The 22,436-nt window shown below is 58.4% G+C and overlaps 1 protein-coding gene across 2 annotated transcripts in view, besides 6 other annotated features; it reads left to right on the forward strand.

Moving 5' to 3' along the window:
- Window positions 1–22,436, forward strand: part of PRDM16 (PR/SET domain 16) — a 369,419-nt gene that overhangs the window by 325,996 nt on the left and 20,987 nt on the right. For both annotated transcript variants that reach the window (NM_022114.4, NM_199454.3), the window contains exons 5-10: window positions 1,293–1,395; window positions 7,593–7,800; window positions 9,541–9,688; window positions 10,297–10,450; window positions 16,186–17,602; window positions 19,362–19,449. In NM_022114.4, coding sequence (NP_071397.3) covers window positions 1,293–1,395; window positions 7,593–7,800; window positions 9,541–9,688; window positions 10,297–10,450; window positions 16,186–17,602; window positions 19,362–19,449 — 2,118 coding nt within the window. The remainder of the gene's footprint in view (window positions 1–1,292; window positions 1,396–7,592; window positions 7,801–9,540; window positions 9,689–10,296; window positions 10,451–16,185; window positions 17,603–19,361; window positions 19,450–22,436) is intronic.
- Window positions 136–819: an enhancer, noted in NCBI's record as "H3K4me1 hESC enhancer chr1:3311898-3312581 (GRCh37/hg19 assembly coordinates)". NCBI's record gives its function as "activates a minimal SCP1, AML or CMV promoter by ChIP-STARR-seq in primed H9 embryonic stem cells {active_cell/tissue: H9 hESC(primed)}" and the evidence as "EXISTENCE:reporter gene assay evidence [ECO:0000049][PMID:30033119]".
- Window positions 820–1,502: an enhancer, noted in NCBI's record as "H3K4me1 hESC enhancer chr1:3312582-3313264 (GRCh37/hg19 assembly coordinates)". NCBI's record gives its function as "activates a minimal SCP1, AML or CMV promoter by ChIP-STARR-seq in primed H9 embryonic stem cells {active_cell/tissue: H9 hESC(primed)}" and the evidence as "EXISTENCE:reporter gene assay evidence [ECO:0000049][PMID:30033119]".
- Window positions 8,365–8,865: an enhancer, noted in NCBI's record as "H3K4me1 hESC enhancer chr1:3320127-3320627 (GRCh37/hg19 assembly coordinates)". NCBI's record gives its function as "activates a minimal SCP1, AML or CMV promoter by ChIP-STARR-seq in primed H9 embryonic stem cells {active_cell/tissue: H9 hESC(primed)}" and the evidence as "EXISTENCE:reporter gene assay evidence [ECO:0000049][PMID:30033119]".
- Window positions 13,263–13,840: an enhancer, noted in NCBI's record as "H3K27ac-H3K4me1 hESC enhancer chr1:3325025-3325602 (GRCh37/hg19 assembly coordinates)". NCBI's record gives its function as "activates a minimal SCP1, AML or CMV promoter by ChIP-STARR-seq in naive H9 embryonic stem cells {active_cell/tissue: H9 hESC(naive)}" and the evidence as "EXISTENCE:reporter gene assay evidence [ECO:0000049][PMID:30033119]".
- Window positions 19,918–20,614: an enhancer, noted in NCBI's record as "H3K27ac-H3K4me1 hESC enhancer chr1:3331680-3332376 (GRCh37/hg19 assembly coordinates)". NCBI's record gives its function as "activates a minimal SCP1, AML or CMV promoter by ChIP-STARR-seq in primed H9 embryonic stem cells {active_cell/tissue: H9 hESC(primed)}" and the evidence as "EXISTENCE:reporter gene assay evidence [ECO:0000049][PMID:30033119]".
- Window positions 20,615–21,310: an enhancer, noted in NCBI's record as "H3K27ac-H3K4me1 hESC enhancer chr1:3332377-3333072 (GRCh37/hg19 assembly coordinates)". NCBI's record gives its function as "activates a minimal SCP1, AML or CMV promoter by ChIP-STARR-seq in naive H9 embryonic stem cells {active_cell/tissue: H9 hESC(naive)}" and the evidence as "EXISTENCE:reporter gene assay evidence [ECO:0000049][PMID:30033119]".

The raw sequence follows: 22,436 nt of genomic DNA on the forward strand, positions 1-22,436 counted from the left end.
GCATGCAGGGGCCACACCCAGCCCTGTCTCGGGGGTGCCCAGCTGTGTCCAGCCACAGACCCCAGCCAGGTCCAGGTGCTGGAGAGCCTGGCCTGACACAGGATGGTCAGTGGGGATGGGAGTGTCACCCACAAGGATGGCCACGTCCCCTCAATCCCTGGGAGCCCTTCCCTTTCTGAGTCTAGACCCACTCTGTTTTCTTGGAGGAGCCTCAGCCCCAGGTCTCGCAGGGGCAGGTGGATTTCCCTTGGGCCTCTCCCCAGCCTCACAGCCAGTCCTCCGGCCAGGCCTGCAGTTCCCTGGAAGCTCCCCAGTTACTGTGATCAGAAGAGAGTCTCAAACACCCACATGTGCAGGGTGGGCAGTGACTCCCCCAAGAGAAACACACCTGCCGCCAGACACTCCCGGACCGAAGACACAGGGTTCCTTGTGCTGGCGGCATGGCCCGTGCCCTGGCCCAGGCCTCAGATGGCCTGGCCTCCCCTTTGTGAACTGCTAATTTTCTTCATCTCGACCACCACTTCCACACCCCAAGACAACCTCCTCTTTTCAGGAGGCCCCTGGCAAGCTGCAGTGACACAGCCCCCAACAGCACTGCTCAGTGAGCAGAGTTCCAAATGGAGGTCCCCTCGCCCCCAGGGCTTGACCAGGCTGCAGAATCTACCTGAGCCCACCAGTTCTCAAGGGTGTCCTCCATCCCAGACTCCCGCCTGTGGGGTCAGCAGCAAGGCGCCAAGCTGACAGTGGGCACACAGTCCTGCCCGCCCCAGCCTTCCTGGCTCATGGCATCCCCGCTCCTGGGAGAACCGCAGCCCCATGTCCTGACTCACTGGCCAGGCGCAGCTCATGGCCACTTTCAGAAACAACCAGATTCACTCCACACCCTGAGCTCCCCCTCCCCCGCCGCCACTGGCAAAGCGGGTCTCACTTACATACACAAAATGGAACAAAAGAAACTTGAGAACCCACCCAGGTGGGCTCTTGGTGGAAGCGGGGCTCTGCTGTGCCCCCAGGACACCCCCAGCTGGGAACTTTCATGTGGATCCTACCTGTTTAGTCGGCCACCCCCTTTATGAATATCCTAAAACCCAATAAAGCAAATTAAAAGGGGACGCAATTCCTTCTGCGCATACTCTGCAAAAGTTCCATAGTGGACCCTCTTGGTGGCAATTAGAGGAAAATCAAGTGCAGGCCGAGCTGCGTCCACAGTGTGAGGGCTGAGTGTGCACTGAGAGGCTCTCCAGACACCAACAAACCACACTCACCCTTTCTCTCTGGTCTCTCCATCCTAGATTTACTATAAAGTCATTAAGGACATTGAGCCAGGTGAGGAGCTGCTGGTGCACGTGAAGGAAGGCGTCTACCCCCTGGGCACAGTGCCGCCCGGCCTGGACGGTAAGACCCCTCCCCCAAACCGGGCCACGGCCCCTGGGAGCCCCCAGCCAGCCCGGAAGAGGAGCAGATGCCTGGGAGGACCGAGGGCCTCTCATCACCTCAAGCCACCTAATGAGGGCCAGGCGGCCCCCAAGTGCTAGGTGCCTCCATTTTTGCAGACCTCAGGCCAGCAGAAATTGCCCGCCTCCACAAAGGCTCAACCTAATGGCTTTCTTGTTCCTCTTCCCTGGGGCATCCAGGAGGTGCACCCAGAATTTAAGAAGGGCTTCGGGCAGTGGGCAAACTGGTATCCAGTGGATTATGTCTTTGCAATGTTAGGGTCCCAGGTGATTTTTTTAAGCTATGTTTTATTATTGCTATTATTCTTATTAGCAGCAGCAACAGCAGCCTTTGCTTTCCCTGGTACTTAAATGAACGAACAAACAAACACCAAGCCAGTTTTGTAGCTTCGAAGCATTTCTGGCTGCCCCAGAGCTCTCTGTGGGGTGGGAAGATTTTGTTTCATTTAAGAGAGTGGATGATGGCATATGTATCTTTCAAAGCAAAATGTGCATCTGTAGCTAAAACTCCAAGAGAAGTGTTAGGGGAAGTTTCATTTGGCAAGAGGGAAAATGCGGGGTCTGAGGCGGGTCTCACAGTGATGCGGAGTCGCCCCGCTCTTCCAGACAGGGCTGTGGGAAGCCTTCCAAATTTCCTTTTCCCTAGATCTGCCAGTCCCTCTCTGTCGAGTAGAGATGGGACAAGTGAGTTTCCCTTTCACCTTCCTCCACACCCAAGTACAGCTGAGAGGATGCCTGAGAAAATTCCAGTCCCACACAGATGAGCTCTTCCCAGATACAGGCTCATTCCTGCCTTCACGTCATGAAGCCATGTGTCCGTTCCCCTACGGGGTCCTGGAACAGCCGGCCAGGAAAGGCTCTGTGGGCAGTGAGGCCCTGGCCCGTCGGCTCCACGCCGGTCCCTCTGAGCAGACGGCTCCAGGGTTCGAGCCTAACTGCTTTACTTTGGGAGGCCCCGCAAGTGAACAGGAACGCAAGCTCCCTCCTGGCCGTTTCCGGCGCTGGTGATTCCTGCTGGTGCTGGAGCCTGGAGGGAGGCTGAGTTTTCCTCCTCGCTTCTTGGACCTCCCCTTCAAACACACCAAGGCTTAGTGATTAATGCCATTTGCTGCAAGTTTCTCCAAGGAACCACTCTGATTTCACGGTGAAGGAATGGTGCTGGAATGAGCAGGAAGGCTTCGAGACCAGACATGGAGAACTCCGCCTTCATTTACCCTTGCCATCACCGAGCGTGGCCCAGCTAGCTGGGTCCTTCCTTGGTGCAGTATCTGTTTATGTCCCTGAGTGTCCGAAAGGAAATGACCACAGAAGGATAGTTTAACAAGCTGGAGCCTATCTGCAGCTTCCTCTAAAGTTTGGTTTTATTTAGGCCATTGAGAAAAGAAAAATCAATTGCCGAGATCTGGATAGCAGGGGGGAGGGCCTCATTTTCCTTAAAATAATTGTTGAAAAGATCTATGAATCTTAGACAGCGCACAAGAACGCCAAGAGACAAATCTACTTGACTTAAGGAGAGTGCTTGACTATGGAATTTCATTTGTACGATGAAATTTCTTTCTTCCAAAAGGTTTTTTAAAAACCTTGATTTCTGCTCCCCACCCCGCTCCAGCCCCTGATATTAAATAACCTGGGTCTACATTTTCCTAATAATTTATCAAACATTTGTGGGCTAATTGCTTGCCACACATAATAGCCCAACATCAAATATTTGACTTTCCCTACTCTTTCCTGTCAAGATCATGCCTCCCCAATAGCCGCCTCCCCCACCAGTTAAACTCTGAATCGCACAGAAAGAAAATGCAAAAATGTTCCTCACTAAGATAATTATCATAAAAAATCTTTTATCCCAACCCCAGCTCAATGCAGCCAGCCCCTTATCACTGCAGGGACTTGGAGGAGGCTCTCGAGCTCCTTTGAGCCTCGAGTCTGGTAGATTAGTACGTAGACGCCACTTAATTGTGAACCCCTCGGCTCTCCGGGGCCATTAGGCACTGATTTATTTTTCTGTTACATTCCTGCTCTGCCATGAAGATTGCTGATGGAACTTCAGATAGGCAAGTGAGGCGCAGATATGACAAACAAGATGTGAGGTCACCACGGCGTTGGCTTAGTTGGCGTAGGTGACAGGTGGATGCTGTACCGCGGCCCACGCACCCCTGCCAGATGAAGAGAGTTTCATTTCCAATCACTATATTTTGTGCTTTTGTTGGGAGAAGAGGGCTTGGCTGGAGACCACGTTCAGGTAGTGAAGAAGACACAGGAGACCCTTGGGGGCCAGCCCGCTTCGGGAGAACCGAGCCTCTGCCCTGCCGTCCCGGGGCTGGACACATTCCCTCTGCAGAGCTGCAGCTCTGTCAAGAATGCGAGGCCCATTTTCACACAAGTGATTCAGACCACGGGGAAGCCACTTTCAGATGCATTCGACTTTGTGTTTTGCTTTTACACTTACAATGAAGAGGAAAGAATTCTCTTTCGTGAGAACTTTTTGCTCTTGGGAGAAAATAAAGAAAGTCACTTCCATTCCCATATGCTTTTCTTTTGAGAAAGCCTCACGATAATTTGCTTTTCCTCTCTCCAAAAGAGGTCAAGAGGAGGCAGTGCGTGGAGGACAGAGCGCATGAGCCAGCCAGATCGTGAGATCAGAGATAATAAGATGGGAAACATTATCAGAATAGGACATGTTCTTTCAGCATTTCTTTAAAGCAGAAGTTTCTTGTACCGAGAAAGTGAAAATGCCATAAACTATGCCCCCGTTTCTGGCCCCTCCATGAGCCCCAGGGGTGTATTCAGGGCCAGCCTTACCTGCCTGGAAGACAGCCGGGAGACCTGTCCATACCACTCAGTAAGGGCAGGCCAGGCTCAGGTGTGTCCTGTACCCGGCTCTGTCCTCTGATGGGGGCCCAGCTCCATCCGTGGAGGGCTGGGGTTGGGGAGCAGCAGGGCAGGGATGGTCACTGAAGTCGGCTCCATCACGTCCAGGGCACCCTCCAAGGCCATTGGAGTGAGAATCAGACTGCATTCTCATTTGCAATCTAAATTTTTATTTTCATCCCAAATTCTAAATGAGAACTGGAAAAAATAAGTTGGTCAATAATATGAGTGGGTGGGGTTGGCATTTCTTCTTGTCTTTGTTTTCAAATTTCAACTACTATGATTGTTCTTCATTGGGTCCAGAAAGAGTAAAATAAAAGCTGGCATTTCTAACTGAATCACGATGCTGGCTGGAGGCCCCATCTCAGCCTCCTTCCAGCCCGGGACGTTGGAATCCACCCACAGGCAGCTTCCCAGGTCTGCGGGTTGGCTGTGTTCTGCAATGGTCTTGGTGCTCAGATCTGCAGGGCTTGTTCCCCAGTGAAAATCCCAGTTTCTGAAGACAAGGGAAGGCCTGAGAGGGGGTGATGGTGAGCATCCCTCTATCAGAGGCTCACCTCGCTTTCCCCAAAACCCTCAGTGGGAAATTGGGGCCCTGCCAGCCCTGCTTCCTCGGCCCCAAAACCATGGGCAGGCTGCAGGCCCACTGCTCCACCTCTTCCTTGGACGAGCAACTCGGTGTTGCCCAGCCTCAGTTTGCCAGTTCTGAAGCGGGCATGCGAATACTGTCGCCCTTCCCTGGGTGCTTGCAGGTCGATGCGGGGCTTCAGTGCCCAGATTCTCTTAAGCCCTGAGGACAGGACCTGCCACGTGGGGCTCCCACCAGACCCCAGGGGTCAGCCTTGCCACCCACATCATTTGCACAGTGGGCTCTCTCTGAAGAATTTGCAGGCTTGAATCACATTTCAAGGTGGCATTTTGTAGACTTCTAGGGTGAGTATTTCTTGCCCACCTCCTCCCAGGCTGTGCACCCTGTCCAAGGATCCCTCCTGGCAGCTCCTAGGTGGGTTTGGTTTGTTCAGTGAGTGAACAAACTCGGAAAGCTCCGAATGGCAGCCTTCCCCGGAGAGGTTTGGGACGGAGCCCTCCAAGCCCCAGAGGCTGGAGCTGAGGTGTGGACCGCAGTCCTGTGGGAAGTGGACTGCGCAGGCCCTGGGCATCCTCTGGCTTTTTTCCCTTCATGATCTTGTTTTCCCCCAAACCAGTGCTTTCCTGAGGTTCAGGTCAGTGAGCAGGGCCAGGATGCCTGGACACCGGCTGAGAACGAAATCACAGTGTTTGGTGCATCTTGACCAGCAGTGGTGCCTGCCCACTCACCCCCAATGCACACACCCCTGGGGCTCCTCTCGGCCAGACACCCCTTCCCTGTCAGCCAGATACTTACCTCTGTCCAAAGACGGCACCAAAAATCACATCTGGCAAGCTGGCATCTGTACCTTGGTTGGCAAGGGGTGGGTGGGTGCGTGCCATCCAGTATGCCTGCTGTGGTCTCTTGGGGCCAGCACCCTGCTGGAATCCCCACCTTGGGCACCTGAGGCTCAGGGAGCCAGGCTCTGAGGACCCGCCAGGGGTGCTGGGGTGGCCCAGGCCAAATAGCAGCATCTCTACCCTTAGGCTCAGGGAAGCTTCCAGTCAGCAAGGAGGTGCCACTTCTGGTAACCCCTGCACTGCCCAGACTGCAAAGCAGCCCACACTTTCCTTAGGACTCTAAAAGGCCTATGACCGTGGTGGTCTCTCTGACACAGGGAGGGGACAGGAAGTGACAGCCCTCTTCCATCTGCCCCCATCCCCCCGTCTCCGCGGCAATCCTTAGGTTCAGGCCTTTGAGTCAACGTTCAGACCAAGCTCATGAAGACTCTGCTCAATGCTGGGCACTGGGTCAGTCCTCGTGCACGTGCATACACACCCAAACACACATTCCCACAAGCACCCAAATGCACACACACAAATTGCATGCATACACACATCACATGCACACAAACACAAACATGCACGTTAGCATACACACATTCATATACAAGCATGTGTACACATATTCATGCCTGCACAACTACACACCCATTGGCGCACACACACACAAACCAACACACAATGTGCGTGTTCACACACATATTCACATGCACATGTGTGCACATCAAACACATATGCACACACAACATAGCCACCCATGCGCACGAACATATATGTATAATATGCACGTATGCATACATAACACAAATGCACACACATGCAGACAGAAACACGTGCATTCACACATGCAAAGTATGCACCCACATGAACACACAGATGCACACATGCCTCAACACAAAGGCATCCACAAACCACACATGTGCAAGTATGAAAACACACCAGTGCACACAAATATTCACGCATGTAGGTGCATGCAGAAACACATGCATCCTCACACACATGCACATGAGTACCCATGCAGGCCCACACAAACATGGGTGTAAGTGCATAGACATGCACACACAGTCACACAAAAATGCACAGACATGGATGCAGATATGCTGAGATATTCACACTTACGTGTGCATACACAGCTGCCTGCTCATGCCCAAGACGCCCCCGTGCACTCACACACTGGTGCACACACCATTGTTCAATTCATTTGGGAAAGAGCTCAGTGCCAGCGTTCTTTCCAGAGCCGGGGGGATGAGGCATCTTGTTGGGGGGGTCTCCCGTCTTAGGTGGAAGGCTGCTGCCCAGCTGCTACAGGCAGGGGAGGCAGGGACGGGCCCAGAGCCCCCCACCGGGATGACAGCTCCAGGCTGATTGTTTGGCTTGGCAAGGCAGTCAGGATGCTGCCTCGTAAACTTAATAATAGCTGCCCCCCTTTTAATTTGTTTGACCTTGACGACAATAATTTATTATATGCACTGGAGCTCTGTCATCGTTTTTCTCCTGATTCATAAACAAAGCACTTGGCCCGGCTTCCTCCTCCACTCCCGAGCGGGGCCTTCTCCAGCCCACAGTGGCTGCCTGAGGCACAGGCAGGGCCGGGTGTCGCCCGGGGCTCCCTCTGAGGCACAGATTGGGGGGTCCTTTGGTCCTGCCCAGGGCTGGGCCCTGGGGACTCCACATGCCTGTTTCCAGGGCAGGCTGGTGGGCCCCAAGTTGAAGGCTGGAAGGAAGCAGTGCAGGACTGGCCAGCCTGGGTGCAGGCCCTGAGGCACCGTGGTGAGGGGGCCAGGTCTCCAGAGTCCCCTGATAGCCCTGGGCTGGGTCTCCAGCTCACTCACCACCACCTCGTTCTCTCTCTTGCAGAGGAGCCCACGTTCCGCTGTGACGAGTGTGACGAACTCTTCCAGTCCAAGCTGGACCTGCGGCGCCATAAGAAGTACACGTGTGGCTCAGTGGGGGCTGCGCTCTACGAGGGCCTGGCTGAGGAGCTCAAGCCCGAGGGCCTTGGCGGTGGCAGCGGCCAAGCCCACGAGTGCAAGGACTGCGAGCGGATGTTCCCCAACAAGTACAGGTGCCACGCCCTCCTCTGAGTCTTCCTCCCCTTCCCGTACCCTCCTCTGAGTCTTCCTCCCCTTCCCGTGCCCTCCTCTGAGTCTTCCTCCCCTCCCTTCCCCCGCCTCGCCCCCCAACAGGTGTAGACAAAGGGCCCCCTGGTGGGACACACCCTGGGGATATGTGCCCCTTCTGGGACACTGGCGCTGCGGGCAGAGCAGGTGCAGGATCCCGTGGCCAGAGCCGCAGGTGTCCCCTGGCTCCGACCGCAAATGTCCTGGCCCCAGAAAGCCACCTCCTAGGCTCATGGCCCTGCCTGCCAGGGCTGCGCTGCGGGGAGAAACTAGAAAGGAGAAAAACTCAGGCCAGAGCCCAGACCTGCAGCCGCTAAGCCCAAGGCTACTTCTGTAATAAGGTCCCAGACCGGGATGGGGGTGGCAGCACCCACCACCAAGGGATTCATGGTGGCCCCACCCTCCGGACACACGAGCAGCTCCTTCTCAGATGGTAGGCAAGAGCCAGAAGGGGTCACCCCTATCCCCAAGGCACCAGCCCTGCTCCCCACCAGGTGGCAGCGGACTGTCCCAGGAGGGGCTTCAGAGACATGAGCGGGCCCACGGTGGCCCTCCCCTGCCCTGAGACCAGGCAGGAGCCAGCATCTGGGGCCTGGGCGGCCTTGGGGACCTGTGGCCCCCGGGAAAGACAAGATTCCTGGTCTCTGTGGGGAGTGAAACCAGGACATTCAGTCCAGTGCTGTAAGGAGCTATGGAGACTTTTCCAACCTGGGCCCCTCCTCCTGCCTTTGAGGATTTCCTCCAGGACAGCCTCGCAAAGTCAGAGCAAAGCCCATCAGGCCACTAACCGGCTATGTGATTGCTGGGGATTACCGCCCATCCCCGCACCGCTCCCTGGGGACGGCAAACCCTCCACCCGGAACAGATGACTGAGAAAATAAACGTTTGGGCAAATCCCAACTGCGGCCCTTCCCAGTAAACGCCGCTCAAGAGGGTCCGTGTTTTCTTTACATAAACACATAAATCACAATTAACAACGGGGGAAAAGATACAGTCTCCTGATGCTCGGGAACCAGGCGTTTCTGATCTGAATGGATGGCTGGGCCCCGTAATTAACGAGCCGTGATATATCACTGCTTTGCTCATGAAGATTAACGGTCATCCCTGGGACAAGGGAAGCCGGGGGTCCCCCAAGAGCAGGGAATTAGAGCGACTCCTTCATCCAAGTGCAGCGGCCCCTCCGAGCAGCTGTGCTCGGGTCCCCTCCGTGTCACCTGGAGACCCCCGAGTGACTCCCGACCTGCGTCCTCGGTGTGTGCCCAGCACTCAGAGGGGCATCCTTGGGTTTGGGGGACTTGCCCCACTCCTGGGTTCATGCCAGTGTTGAACCCCTTTTTTCTTAGGCCCAAGCCTAGCTGCAAGGCCAGGACCAGCTTGAGAGGCACCCAGGGAGTGTGGGCCGGGGTCCGGCACTGCCTCCAGCCGCCCTGGGGGTGGTCTTGGGTGAGGGATGGAACCATCCAGGTGCCGGCTTCCCCATCTGCTAGGGGAAGGCCGCCTCTGCCCCTCACAGCCCGGCCACGGCAGAGAGGAGGTGGGCAGGGAGACACCAGCATGTGCTCTGATCCCTCGGCAGCGTGGTGGGGGCTCCGAAGGGGCACTGGGAACAAGCTGTATGGTTGGGGTCCCCTCCCGGGCAGAGGGCAGGTAGTCGGGCCCCGCAGTGAGCCTCGTCCTCTGCGCAGCCTGGAGCAGCACATGGTCATCCACACGGAGGAGCGCGAGTACAAATGCGACCAGTGTCCCAAGGCCTTCAACTGGAAGTCCAACCTCATCCGCCACCAGATGTCCCACGACAGCGGCAAACGCTTCGAATGTGAAAACTGCGTGAAGGTAACCTGCGGGGCGGCCCCGTCTCAGCCCCGGGGCAGCAGGAGGCTGCAGACGGGCGCCCGCCCCCGTGCTCCCTACACCCCCTGGTCCAAATGTAGATGGAGTGCGGCAGAGTGGGTAGGAGGCCCCTGCGGTGGCTCGGGCCCTTCCGTGTGACTAGGAAGGAAAGGAAGTCTCAGGGAAGACCGTGTCCCCCAGGTCAGAAGGATCAGGGCCGAGACCAGAACCCAGGCCCCTCCAGAGCGCGGCTCCTGTCCTCCCGCCGGTGTGGAAGGAAGAGGCTGGCGGGGCTGAGCCGAGCCTCCACCCCGAGCCCGCCAGGGTCTCAGCACCACAGCTGAAAACGCTTTCTGCAGCCCTGTCTCACGCAGCCTCAGTTCAGGAATTGTTCTTGAGGAAAGCAGCCGGGGAGGCTCTGCGGCTCACTTAAGGCCCTGCAGCGGGTCCTTGCTACACAGAGACCTGTCCCGGCCTGCTTGGTGCAGACTGCAACGTGGCAAGAGAGACAGGCAGGGCCCTGCCCCCCACAGCCGGTTGGTCCGCCAGCCAGAACCAGGCCAAGGCGGGTGTCCAGGCAGGGCACGCGCCAACGGCATCCGTCTCCCCAGGTGTTCACGGACCCCAGCAACCTTCAGCGGCACATCCGCTCGCAGCACGTGGGCGCTCGGGCCCACGCCTGCCCCGACTGCGGGAAGACCTTCGCCACGTCCTCCGGCCTCAAGCAGCACAAGCATATCCACAGCACGGTGAAGCCTTTCATATGTGAGTGGTCGCCCAGCCTGGCCGCCTGCCCTCCGGGTGCGCGGATGCCGTGGCGGTCGGGCCGAGGTGGGCCATCCCCCAAGGTCTCCCCCGATCCGAGGGGCCCCAGTTTGTTCATAAAGCACTCATGGCAGGTTCTGACATCTCTGCCGCGTGCAGCCTGGTCCCCGGCAGGCACCCTCTGAGTTTGTCCCTCACTGCTCCCCTTCCCCATCCCGTCCTCCTCCACGGCTCCCCTTGCTTCACCTCACAGGGGCTGGAGGGGGGCAGTGGGTGATGGGAGGGACCAGGGTCCTGCAGAAGGAGCTGGACCCTCCCTCCCTGTTGCTACTCCCGTCCCCCGAACTCACTCCCCACCTGTGCCGAGCTCCAGAAGGGCGTGCTTCTGTGCTGCCCTGCACGTGACAGTCTCAGCAGACACCCACTGGGATTGTCAGGGCGGTGTCTCTAGGGGGCCCTGTCTGTGCCCAGTGCTGTTCCAGTGCGGGGGCCAGCCCTGAATAAAAGACCAGCTGTCTTTAGGAGGCTCGCACACCAATGGGAGGAGACAGGCAAGCCAGACAAGCAAGGTGGCAGGCACAGCTCTGGGTGCAGCGGTGTGGGGTTACAGCCTCACAGGGGGCCAGGCTGGCAGCCTGGTGTGGGAGCTGAGACTGCCTGTTCGATGAGAGGCGTTCCAGCAAAGACACAAGGAGAGTGAGCCCTGGGCACCTGTGGAGGAGGCTCAGGAGGGAGCTGTGAGCGTAGAGGCCCAGAGGCCAGGGTTTGTTTAAGGAGTGAGTGAGCGGAGTGAGAAGAAAGGGCCAGGTGGTGGCTCACACCTGTAATCCCAACACTTTGGGCGGCCCAGGCAGGAAGATCACCTGAGGCCAGGAGTTCAAGACCAGCCTGAGCAATGTAGCAAGACACCATTTCTACCAAAAAAAAAAAAATTTTTTTTTTAATTAGCCAACCACGGTAGTGTGTGCCTGTGGTCCCAGCTGCTCAGGGGGCTAAGGGCAAGAGGATGTCCTGAGCCCAGGAATTCGAGGCTGCAGTAAGCCAAGATCACACCACTGCACTCCAGCCTGGGCAACAGAGCAAGACTCTGTAAAGAAATAAAAATAAATAAGAGAAAGGTAAGAGGTCACCAGGGCCGGGTCCAAGGGGCCTTGTGGGCCAGTGCAGGGACTATGACCCTGATTCTCAGTGAAGTCAGAGGCCCCTGAAGGGTCCTGTCTGCTGGGCCTTGTGCCGAGTCATCGCTTCCCAAGCATTCTTACACAGCATCCTTACGAAAGCCTGAGAGTGGGGCCCTTCTGTCTCCAGTTGTCATAGGAGGAAAGGGAGGCTACAAGATGTTGAGTGACCGTGGGCTCAAGGCCAGGCTGTGGAGCCCAAATTTTAGCTTCAGGGGCCTGGCTCCTGGCCCCCGGCTGGGTGATTTGAACCTTCCAGGCTCCGTTGCATCAGCCTGGAGAGGCGGGGTGCTGGGAGCTTGGGAACCTGGACTCAGGTGTTCTTGCTGATGTGGGACCACTCAGGCACTGACCACTTGCACAAGAGGTGATGTCCGCCAGCCAGCCGGGCCCCTGTCAGCACCTGGGCTGTGCCCGTCCCACCCACCTCCCAAGCCCCAGCGTCCAGCCGTCCTGCTAGGGGTGACTCCGCCCCCAGCCTAACCTGGGCCACATGCCCCCACCAACTGAGGAACCAAAGGGAGATGGAGCTCTGCCTGCCGGCCGTTCCACAAGTACTGTTTTCCCATTTGCTGACCACCGATCTCCCAGGAGGAGCATGTGTGCAGTGTGCCCGGCTCCGGCACCCCGATACACAGTACCCCTTTCCTCTGGGAGAAGCCAGCACGGTGCGAGCTGGGCAGGAGTCAGGGGCTGGGGCGGGGGGTGACTGCTCCCAGCTGCAGGTCAAGTGACTCCAGTGAGAGCGGCACCAGTTGGTGCCTCAGATGACAACGTGGAGTTCTATAGCAAGCTCAGGAGCAAGAAAATTGGACCTAGGTTTAAACTTCCTTGCCTCTCTGGGCCTGCAGACGAGCGTTCTAAAGTCCCGTTGCATCGCTTTAATGATGTGCATTCCAAGAGCTGCAGCACCCTGGGCAGCTGGAGCCCACTGTTCCCACCACACTGCAGGCTGCTCCCCATCCCTCGTGGATGGAGTGAGGACAGGGAAACTCAACTGGCCCTGCCCCGCCTCGGCGACTCTTGCGCTTCTTGTCCACACACTCGGCTCACCTTTGTGCCTTGGCTTTTTGCTAAGGGGATAAAGCTTAAAGGAAAACCCCAGATGTGGGCAGATCGGGTTTATGAAGATTCTCATTCCCTTAGAAATTAGATCAGACACAAGCAACGCAGCCCTGGTATCCCCCAGGCCACTGCACAGTGTCCTTTGGTGCAACTGCAGAAGGGGGTCTTCAGGCTTGGAGAGGAGAATTTGCAAACAAGTGAGGGAGTCCAAATGGCGTGGCCCTTTCCAGGAATGGTCAGTTGCTTGCAGGAGAGGTCACAGCTGCGCAGGCGCTCATGGCCAGACTCCGTGTCCACCTGCTGGGTGACACACCCATGGCACAGGCAGATGGAAGCCCTAAGCCCCCACCTCACTGGCCACACAGACGGAGGGGGTGTCATTCCTGGTGGTGTCTTTCCCACCAAGGCGCTCACCTGTGCCCTGGGCTGTGTACAAACGTGTGTGTGCATGGGTGTAAGAGAAGGGGTGGGTAGAGCGAGAGGAGAGGAGAACAGGACAGAGAGGAAGTATAATATCTGGGAATGAGGTGCACAGGCTCCCACTGGGCACTTTGCAGAAAGAGCCTTTGCTTTAATAAGTATGCACGTGTGAGAGTGTGTGAGTGTGGGCGCGTGCACCGGTGCGTGTGTGTGTGAGAGCGTGTGTGTGGACACATGAGCTGGTGCATGTGTCGGTGCGTGTGAGAGCGTGTGAGTGTGGGTGTGTGAGCTGGTGTGTGTGTGAGTGCATGAGTGTGGGTGCGTGAGCTGGTGCCTGTGTTGGCATGTGTGAGAGTGTGTGAGTGTGAGCACGTGAGCCGGTGCATGTGTTGGCGTGCATGAGAGTGTGTGAGTGTGGGCGCGTGAGCCGGTGCATGTGTTGGCACACGTGAGAGTGCATGAGTGTGGGCGCGTGAGCCGGTGCGTGTGTGTGAGCGCGTGTGGGCGCGTGAGCTGGTGCGTGTGTTGGAGGATGTGAGAGCACGAGGGTGGGCACGTGAGCTGGTGCGTGTGTGTGTGAGAGCGCATGAGGGTGGGCGTGTGAGCCAGTGCTTGTGTTGGCACGCATGAGAGTGAGGGGCGTGTGAGCCAGTGCATGTGTTGGCACGTGTGAGAGCATGTGAGGGTTGGCGTGTGAGCCGGGGCATGTCAGTGTGTGTGAGTGTGGGCGTGTGGGCCGGTGCGTGTGTCGGCGCACGTGACAGCGTGAGTGTGGGCGCGTGTCTGTGAGTGCGAGTGTGGGCGTGTGAGTTGATGCATGTGAGTGTGTGAGTGTGGGTGTGTGTGAGTGAGTGTGGGCACGTGAGTTGGTGCGTGTGTGTGTGAGAGTGTGGGCGCGTGAGTTGGTGCGTGTGGGTGTGAGAGTGTGTGAGTGGGGCACAGCCAGGGTGTGCTTGTTTGGCCGGCAGGGCTGAGTGCCTCCCCGAGGGCCAGGTAGGTGACCGAGGGGTATTTACAGACCCTCCCTCTGGAGGGTCACCTGTCCATCAGCAGCCCTCCAGAGAGGGCAGATTTGATGAAACGAGACAAAGTTCTTCTCCCCTCAGCCTTGAAAACGCCCCGCCAGGCTGGACGAGCAGGAAGGTAGAGCGGTTAATATAAATAGATATCGTGATGAAAGAACACGATCATCTTAGGGGAAAAGCTCCCAGCTGGAGTCGAAGGAGATCAGGCAGCCGACGATTTCTGGTGAGCAAGAAGCTTGCTGAAATCATTGTTTCCACCACGCCGTGTTTAGGAAGCAAATTGTCCTACAGAGAGAGACACTCGCCGGGATGTGTGTGTGTGGTGTGCGTGTCTGTGGTGTGTGTGTGCGTGTGTGTGGTGTATGTGCATGTGTGTGGTTTGTGTGGTGTGTGTAGTGTGGGTGTGTGTGTGGTGTGGGTGTGAGTGTGTGTGGTTGTGTGTGGGTGTGTGGTGTGGGTGTGTGTGGTGTATGTGTGCATGTGTGTGGTTGTGTGTGGGTGTGTGGTGTGGGTGTGTGTGTGGTGTTTGTGTGCATGTGTGTGGTTGTGTGCATGTGTGTGGTGTGGTTGTGGGTGTGGTGTGTGTGTATGTGCATGTGTGTGGTGTGGGTGTGTGTGCGTGTGGGGGGTGTGGTTGTGTGTTTGCATGGGGGGGTGTGGGGGGTGTGCATGTGTGTGTGCTGTGTGTGCATGTGTGTGATTGTGTGTGTACGAATGTGGTGTGTGGTTGTGTATGTGCATGTGTATGAATGTGTGTGGTTGTGTGTGTGCGTGTGTGTGGTGTGTGTGCATGTGTATGAATGTGGTGTGTGGTTGTGTGTGCTGTGTGTGTGCATGTGTAGATGTGTGTGTGTTCCTCCCTTTTTTCTTAGAAAAACAAGAGGCAAAAGACAAGCTGGTGATTCGCTGACAACCGTTCACAGGCCTTTAGGAAAATGGCCGGAACCCCCAGGCCGCTGGGTCCTGGAGTCTAGCTGGGCCGGCACTGCCCTCTCCTGTTGAGAGAAGATGCTGGCACTCGCCAGCCAGAGCCGGGCACTGCCGCTTCCATCCCAGTCTGAGGAGGTTCCCAGTAGTAGGATTTTCACTTTTCTCAAGCAGGGAATAGTCCCTCTGCATAGGGCTCCTGCCCGGGGTGACCTCCTATCCATGTCCACCTCCAGCCATCTCCAAAGGGTAGTTGAGTACTGCCAGGAGCCCCAAAGTCCGGGATCCCCGAGTTGGGGCCTCCTGAGAACCTCAGGAACTGTCTGTGTCAACCCAGAGGCTGCCTTCTCCGGGGTGCAGGCAGCAGGATCTGGTGCGGAGAGGGGAGGTGGGAGGACACTAGGAACACTGTGAACTTCTAGAGAGCAGGAGGCACAGTCTGCGTGGTCAGCGTCCTGCCCCCACCCCTGCTAGAACAGCTGCAAAAGTGAAGACGAAGGCAGGGCGGGCCCTGAGCCAGCTTGCCCTGAATCCACTGATGGAGTGGCAGACACCATCACATGCATTCGCTTTCCCCGTGCCCCGCCCTGGAGAGCAGGTTCACCTTCCCCAGGGACTTCTGAAAATCTTGGCTCCTAAACTAGCAACACCGTGGGGTAGGAGGGTGGAAACAGCAGTGGCAAGCCCATTCTCCAGCAAAGAAGGTGGCGGCACAGCAGGAACTGTACCAACCGGCCCCCCGATCTGTGCTGGTCACTGGAGGCCAGTCTTGGGTGGGGCGCATGCACACACACATATGTTTCCACATGCTCATGTGTGCACACGTGTGCACACTCAGACACGCACGCTTGCAGAATACACACACGCCTGCCCAGACACGGACACTTACGCACACAGACACACATGCACCTGCCTGTGTATTTGTGTGTACGCACACACGCATGTATGCACAGTACACACATATACACCCATGCCCACGCACATGCACCCAGACAGACTGCTTCCAGCCCCAGCCTCGCCCCTCCAGCGGCTGGCTTTCCCAGTAATTTCATGTGGCGTTTTCAGCAGGGTTTCCCGGTCATTTCATGCGGGTTTGTCTTGGCTTCTGCTGATGTTTTAGGTGAGGTCTGCCACAAGTCCTACACGCAGTTCTCCAACCTGTGCCGGCACAAGCGGATGCACGCCGACTGCCGCACGCAGATCAAGTGCAAGGACTGTGGCCAGATGTTCAGCACTACCTCCTCCCTCAACAAGCACCGGCGCTTCTGCGAGGGCAAGAACCATTACACGCCGGGCGGCATCTTTGCCCCGGGCCTGCCCTTGACCCCCAGCCCCATGATGGACAAGGCAAAACCCTCCCCCAGCCTCAATCACGCCAGCCTGGGCTTCAACGAGTACTTTCCCTCCAGGCCGCACCCGGGGAGCCTGCCCTTCTCCACGGCGCCTCCCACGTTCCCCGCACTCACCCCCGGCTTCCCGGGCATCTTCCCTCCATCCTTGTACCCCCGGCCGCCTCTGCTACCTCCCACATCGCTGCTCAAGAGCCCCCTGAACCACACCCAGGACGCCAAGCTCCCCAGTCCCCTGGGGAACCCAGCCCTGCCCCTGGTCTCCGCCGTCAGCAACAGCAGCCAGGGCACGACGGCAGCTGCGGGGCCCGAGGAGAAGTTCGAGAGCCGCCTGGAGGACTCCTGTGTGGAGAAGCTGAAGACCAGGAGCAGCGACATGTCGGACGGCAGTGACTTTGAGGACGTCAACACCACCACGGGGACCGACCTGGACACGACCACGGGGACGGGCTCGGACCTGGACAGCGACGTGGACAGCGACCCTGACAAGGACAAGGGCAAGGGCAAGTCCGCCGAGGGCCAGCCCAAGTTTGGGGGCGGCTTGGCGCCCCCGGGGGCCCCGAACAGCGTGGCCGAGGTGCCTGTCTTCTATTCCCAGCACTCATTCTTCCCGCCACCCGACGAGCAGCTGCTGACTGCAACGGGCGCCGCCGGGGACTCCATCAAGGCCATCGCATCCATTGCCGAGAAGTACTTTGGCCCCGGCTTCATGGGGATGCAGGAGAAGAAGCTGGGCTCGCTCCCCTACCACTCGGCGTTCCCCTTCCAGTTCCTGCCCAACTTCCCCCACTCCCTTTACCCCTTCACGGACCGAGCCCTCGCCCACAACTTGCTGGTCAAGGCCGAGCCAAAGTCACCCCGGGACGCCCTCAAGGTGGGCGGCCCCAGTGCCGAGTGCCCCTTTGATCTCACCACCAAGCCCAAAGACGTGAAGCCCATCCTGCCCATGCCCAAGGGCCCCTCGGCCCCCGCATCCGGCGAGGAGCAGCCGCTGGACCTGAGCATCGGCAGCCGGGCCCGTGCCAGCCAAAACGGCGGCGGGCGGGAGCCCCGCAAGAACCACGTCTATGGGGAACGCAAGCTGGGCGCCGGCGAGGGGCTGCCCCAGGTGTGCCCGGCGCGGATGCCCCAGCAGCCCCCGCTCCACTACGCCAAGCCCTCGCCCTTCTTCATGGACCCCATCTACAGGTATTCAGCACCCCAGCCTCACTGGCTCTCCCTGGGGCGGGGCCGCGGCGGTGCTGGGCGGGCTCAGTGCATGGTGGTGTCTCTTTCAAGCTCCTCCAAGGTCGTCCCCCGGCCTTTGCTGACTTCAGGAAGATGCCCCTGTTCTTGGGGGGGTCTGCACCCCTCAGGAGGGATGCCTGGCTTGGCTGCTCCTAAGCTAGGTGCCTGGCCCGGGCCGTGTTTGGGAGGCCAGGACGGGTGCTCCTGGACACGTGCAGTTTGCTTGCACCGATGACCACTCAGACATCACACTGCTGGCCTCGAGCGCCTCCTATCCCCAGTAACCCCACCCCCCACCCCAACCCACACCCTTCCCCACCCCTCTCTCCAGCTGTCGTCTCTGGTCTAGCTCTCCCCAGCCTCTACCTGCAGAAGTCAGAGGGGCCTGGGCTGAGTGCTTCCTGCCCCTCCTGGTGCGCTCCTGCCCCTGGAGCCACAGCGGCAGGGGGAATGGGGAGGGGGTGTCTTTCTGGGGGCCCCGGGGGAATCAGAGAAGGAGCCAGTGGTCCTTGGAGGGGAGGAGGAGGCGAGGGATGAAGCAAGCATTGGAGGGTTTTCTAGGCACCAGTGTCCTGTGTCTCTGATGCCTCTCTTGGGGAAAGGCGAGTTTAATGCCACTCCCTAATTTCTGGACAGGTTTGCCCCTCCCTAGAATGCAGGTGGGTTGGAAGAGCAGGGCTAGGCTTGGGGAGGGGGTCCTACCCCCACCAGCACCTGTCCCTGTGCTCCCCGCTTCGCCATGCAAGGAGACAGGCAGGAGACCCTGAGCAAGTCCTGTCCTAATAAAGCAAAAGCGGCCAGTCATAGACATGCTGGGGGTGCTGTGTCTTGCAACGGGGTGGCAGGTTTACCAAAGCGCTCTCAGTGATGGGAAAGAGGCTCCCAAATCTAACCCTCACTATGGGAACCCAGGCAGACAGAGAAGAGCAGGCTGCCTTCAAGAGCCACCAGGCCAAAGGAGGGTCAGTGGATAGCCCTGCCCACGGCCTCTGTTTACCACAGGAGGTTTGCATTGTGATTCAGTGAGCAGGCTTGTCACCGGCATCTGGGGAAGGTTCTGGAACTGTAATCTCCAGCAGCCCTGGAGGGTGTTTAGACAGGGCCCTGTCTGGGTGCTGCAGGAAGCCCCTGGTGACCTCCCCAGGACAGAAACCTGCTGGCCACTCACGTTCATCAGCACACACGGGCAGCACACCCCGTGCCAGGGGCCGGGTCAGAGAAGGAGCGGAGGAGGCCTTGAGCCTCTGGTGTGAGCCACGCTCTGCTGTGAGCAGGTCCAGGGACCCCCTTCAGAGTGGTCCCCACTCATGCAGGGCTGACCGGCCAGTTAGGCCGGGGTGCACGGGGCCTTCAGAGAAAACTCCAGCCGCCTGCACTTAGCACCCATGACCTGCAGGGGTGCTGGCAGCCAGGGGTCTTTGAAGGCCCTCGAGGGGACCTTGGAGGCATGGGAGGTGTGAGGGAACCACTGAGGGAGAGTGTTCAGGGGCAGGTGGTGACAGGGAGGGTCCGTCTAGGGGTGCAGGTGGGCTGGGCTCCCGACATCCCCAAGGCCCACAGAGGAGTCTGGTGAGCGTTGGGGCAGCCACGGCGAGGTCCACACCATGGCCTTGTGACTGGCCAGGTATATGGTCAGGCGGGGTGGGCGGCTCTGTGGAGCGGGTGGCTCGGCGGGGCGGGCGGCTCGGTGGGGTACGTAACCCTCTGTGCTGTTGTCCAGCAGGGTAGAAAAGCGGAAGGTCACAGACCCCGTGGGAGCCCTGAAGGAGAAGTACCTGCGGCCGTCCCCGCTGCTCTTCCACCCCCAGGTACGTCCTCAGTGCAGGTCAGGGCGCCCTGTAACCCACACGCCAGTGGCCCCATCTCCCGGCTGTCGAGGCTCAGTGGCCAGGCTGGAGCCTAAGTCCCCGTCCAGGCCATACCACGCACAGACGCCCTCAAAGGCAGAGGAGGATTCTCTCCCTGAGGCCCCTCAGGTCACTGTAGGCTGGAGAGGTTGAGGACTGAGAGTGACCCTCACAGGGCCACCCCAGGGACCTCTCTGACCCCTGGCTCTGGGCTCCAGGAGGGAGAAGGAGCTTCACTGGAGTCGTGGGCAGAGCCTGAAGGAGCGAGGGCAGGGATTGTGAGTGAGGGGAGCAGCCTCAGGTGGCAGCCCAGGACACAGCGTGGGCGCTCTCTCTGGGGTGCACAGGACCTGAGTATGTTCAAATGGACCGGAAGAGAGGAAGGGCCTGAGCATGCAGAGAGGGGCATGGAGCCAGGCCCCAGGGAGGTGGTGGGCAGGGGGTCTGGAAAGAGACCCAGAGAGCCCCCCAGTCCAGACAGGTGGGTGCAGACCCTGCCAGGCCTGGAGGTGCTCCTGCCTGCCCCTGAGGCCACATCCTGGGAGCAAAATAGCAGGTGGGCAGCATGGCCAGGGCAGAGTCTTCCCGACCTCCTGTCCCCTACTGACTTGGTCTCATTGCTGGGAGCCTGGCCCCTTCCGCAGCGCCATGGGCTGCACCTGGAGGGTCCTGAGGGTCGCACAGTGGGCCTGGCCCTGACAGACTGCAGACCAGACCGGGGCATTGTTCTCTTTCTCGGCCTTCCCCGCCGTGGACGGGCCCCCCACCTGGTTTGTGAAACCTGCGCCCAGGCTGAGTTCACAGCTAAACTTAGCGCCTCCCATTGTTTCCCCGGGGCCGTGGAGTTTGGTTAATAACTTCCCCTGATTTTCCTCGGGATGGGCTGGAAAGAGCCACGAGCCAGCCAGGCGCATCCTGCGTTTGTTTGTGCGGGGAGCGAGGCCGGGAATATCTGATCGGGCGGAGCAAGCCGGGCGGGAGAGGCCCACCCAGGCCCGAGGAAGGGAGCCCAGCGGGGGGCAGTTTCCATTGTCCCTCCTGCCCGCTGCCCCCACGGGCCTGCCACCCCCGCTGCCTGTCCCTGCAGCCCGGAGCCAGGAGGTGGGGGGCGGGAAGAGAGAGATGACTAATAAGTCACCAAATGGTCTAAGGTTGGGCTGTCACTTGGGCAGAAGGCGCCAGTTACTAAAGACCTCGACAAAGCCCAAGAGGCCATGCCTGTGGAAAGACCTCAGCCCTGCTGCTCCGGGCTGCGGAGGGGCTGGTGAGGCCCAGTTGATGGCTCAGGGAGCAAGGCAGCTTCCATCTGCCCATCGCTCATCACTCGTTCTCATCAGGATGAGAGCATGCCTGCCTCGCAGGGGCGGGAGAAGCCTGACCCCCACAGCCTGGGTGGGGCTGGAAGGGGCCAGAGGGGAGGCCTTGGCCACTGTGGACGGACACGAGTTTCTACTCGTTCGTTTCTTTCTGGGTATTTTTATCGTAACCAGTTCCCCAAATAGCAAAACGTCCCCACCACTGGCTCATGTGGTCTCTGGGAAGCATTTGTAGAAAGCCCTCTGCTCCCTACCAGCAGCAGCTGGATAAGTCCCTGGCAAGCAGGTCTCCGAAAAGCTGAGTGCCAGATGCCCGGCACTCGGACTCTGAGAGACCCCAGCCGCGTGATGGGATAGTTTTGTTTGCTAGTGGGCAGCCAGGGCTAGGGTCTTGCTGTAAATGGGCGGGTCACCTCTGTGGAGCTGGCTCTGAGCATTGCCCAGAGGCAGCGAGCCCTATATGAAGCCCCTTGATGACGCAGGTCCTCACCTGCCCTTCTCCTCACCCCCACACCCATTCCGTGGAGGCTGGGTGCCAAGGACCGGCACCCTGGCCAGTTCCTCCCAGTGACACCAGCACCTGGGGAACCCCAAGCTCTCCCTTCCCTCTGCATCTGTATCAGCTCCTGCCTCACCCTTGCCCTCCCTCCTCATCCCCTTCTCTGGGAGCTCCCAGGGGAGGCAGGCTATGAAAATACCTGTTTAGCAAAGGTGTCTGGAGGGCCCTGTGGGTCAGGCATTGGGCCCTGGGAGCACTGGCCCCACCTTCAGCAGGCTGGGTGTGTGGTGCCGAGGCCCGGGGTTTGTTCCCTGTTTTGCCTTTTGCTACCCCTCAGGGGATGATGAACACTCTTCCTTTTCAGCCCCTGTGCAGCCCCCTACAGGGCCTGGCACACAGCAGATATCACAGGGTGGCCCATCTCCTTCTCCACTGAGGTCAGCTCCAAATCTTCAAAGAGAAGGGGAGCTGGGAGAGGCAGGGCTGACACTGAGCAGCTCCATCAGCCCAGCCCTTCCCCTCTCCTGTCGCTATTGTCAGAGACCTCAGTGGGGCCAGGACAGTCTGGGATTCTGATCAGAGCTCTGCCCACCAATCCCATGCTTCCACTCTCCTAATCGAGCAAGCCCTGGGCATCTCCAGGGAGCAGAGAGGCAGCTCCTGTTGCCCATATCAAATTGCCCTGTGTCATGTGACATGTCACATTATTATTTTGAATATTTCCTTTGTGGGTTTAAGTCTTAAAGAGGCTGTTGAATTCCTTAGTACTTTGCCTGCAATTATGGCATGCTGCCACTTGGTGGCAGTGGTTCTGCAGGCCCACAATCTATGCTTTAAACGGAGATTCAGGTTGCTATTGTAATTTTTCAAGACTAAAAAATAAACTTTTTAATGTTAAACTAGATGTAATTCTGCATTTAACCCAAACTAGCCAACCAGAAGTGCTGGCCAGGAGTCAAGTCAGCTGGGCATTTTGCCGGCCTGGGTCAGATAAGGGGTAATCATAAACATCAGCTACCTGTATCACTCAGGTCCCGCCCAAACCGGGCAGTGAGGCTGGTTGCTAAAGATCAGTTTCAGCTCCTGCAGGAAAGACCTTAAACTACAAACGAGGGACTGGGACTCAGGGAAGG

Source organism: Homo sapiens, chromosome 1, assembly GCF_000001405.40.
Source record: "Homo sapiens chromosome 1, GRCh38.p14 Primary Assembly".
Classification (NCBI taxonomy): domain Eukaryota; kingdom Metazoa; phylum Chordata; class Mammalia; order Primates; family Hominidae; genus Homo; species Homo sapiens.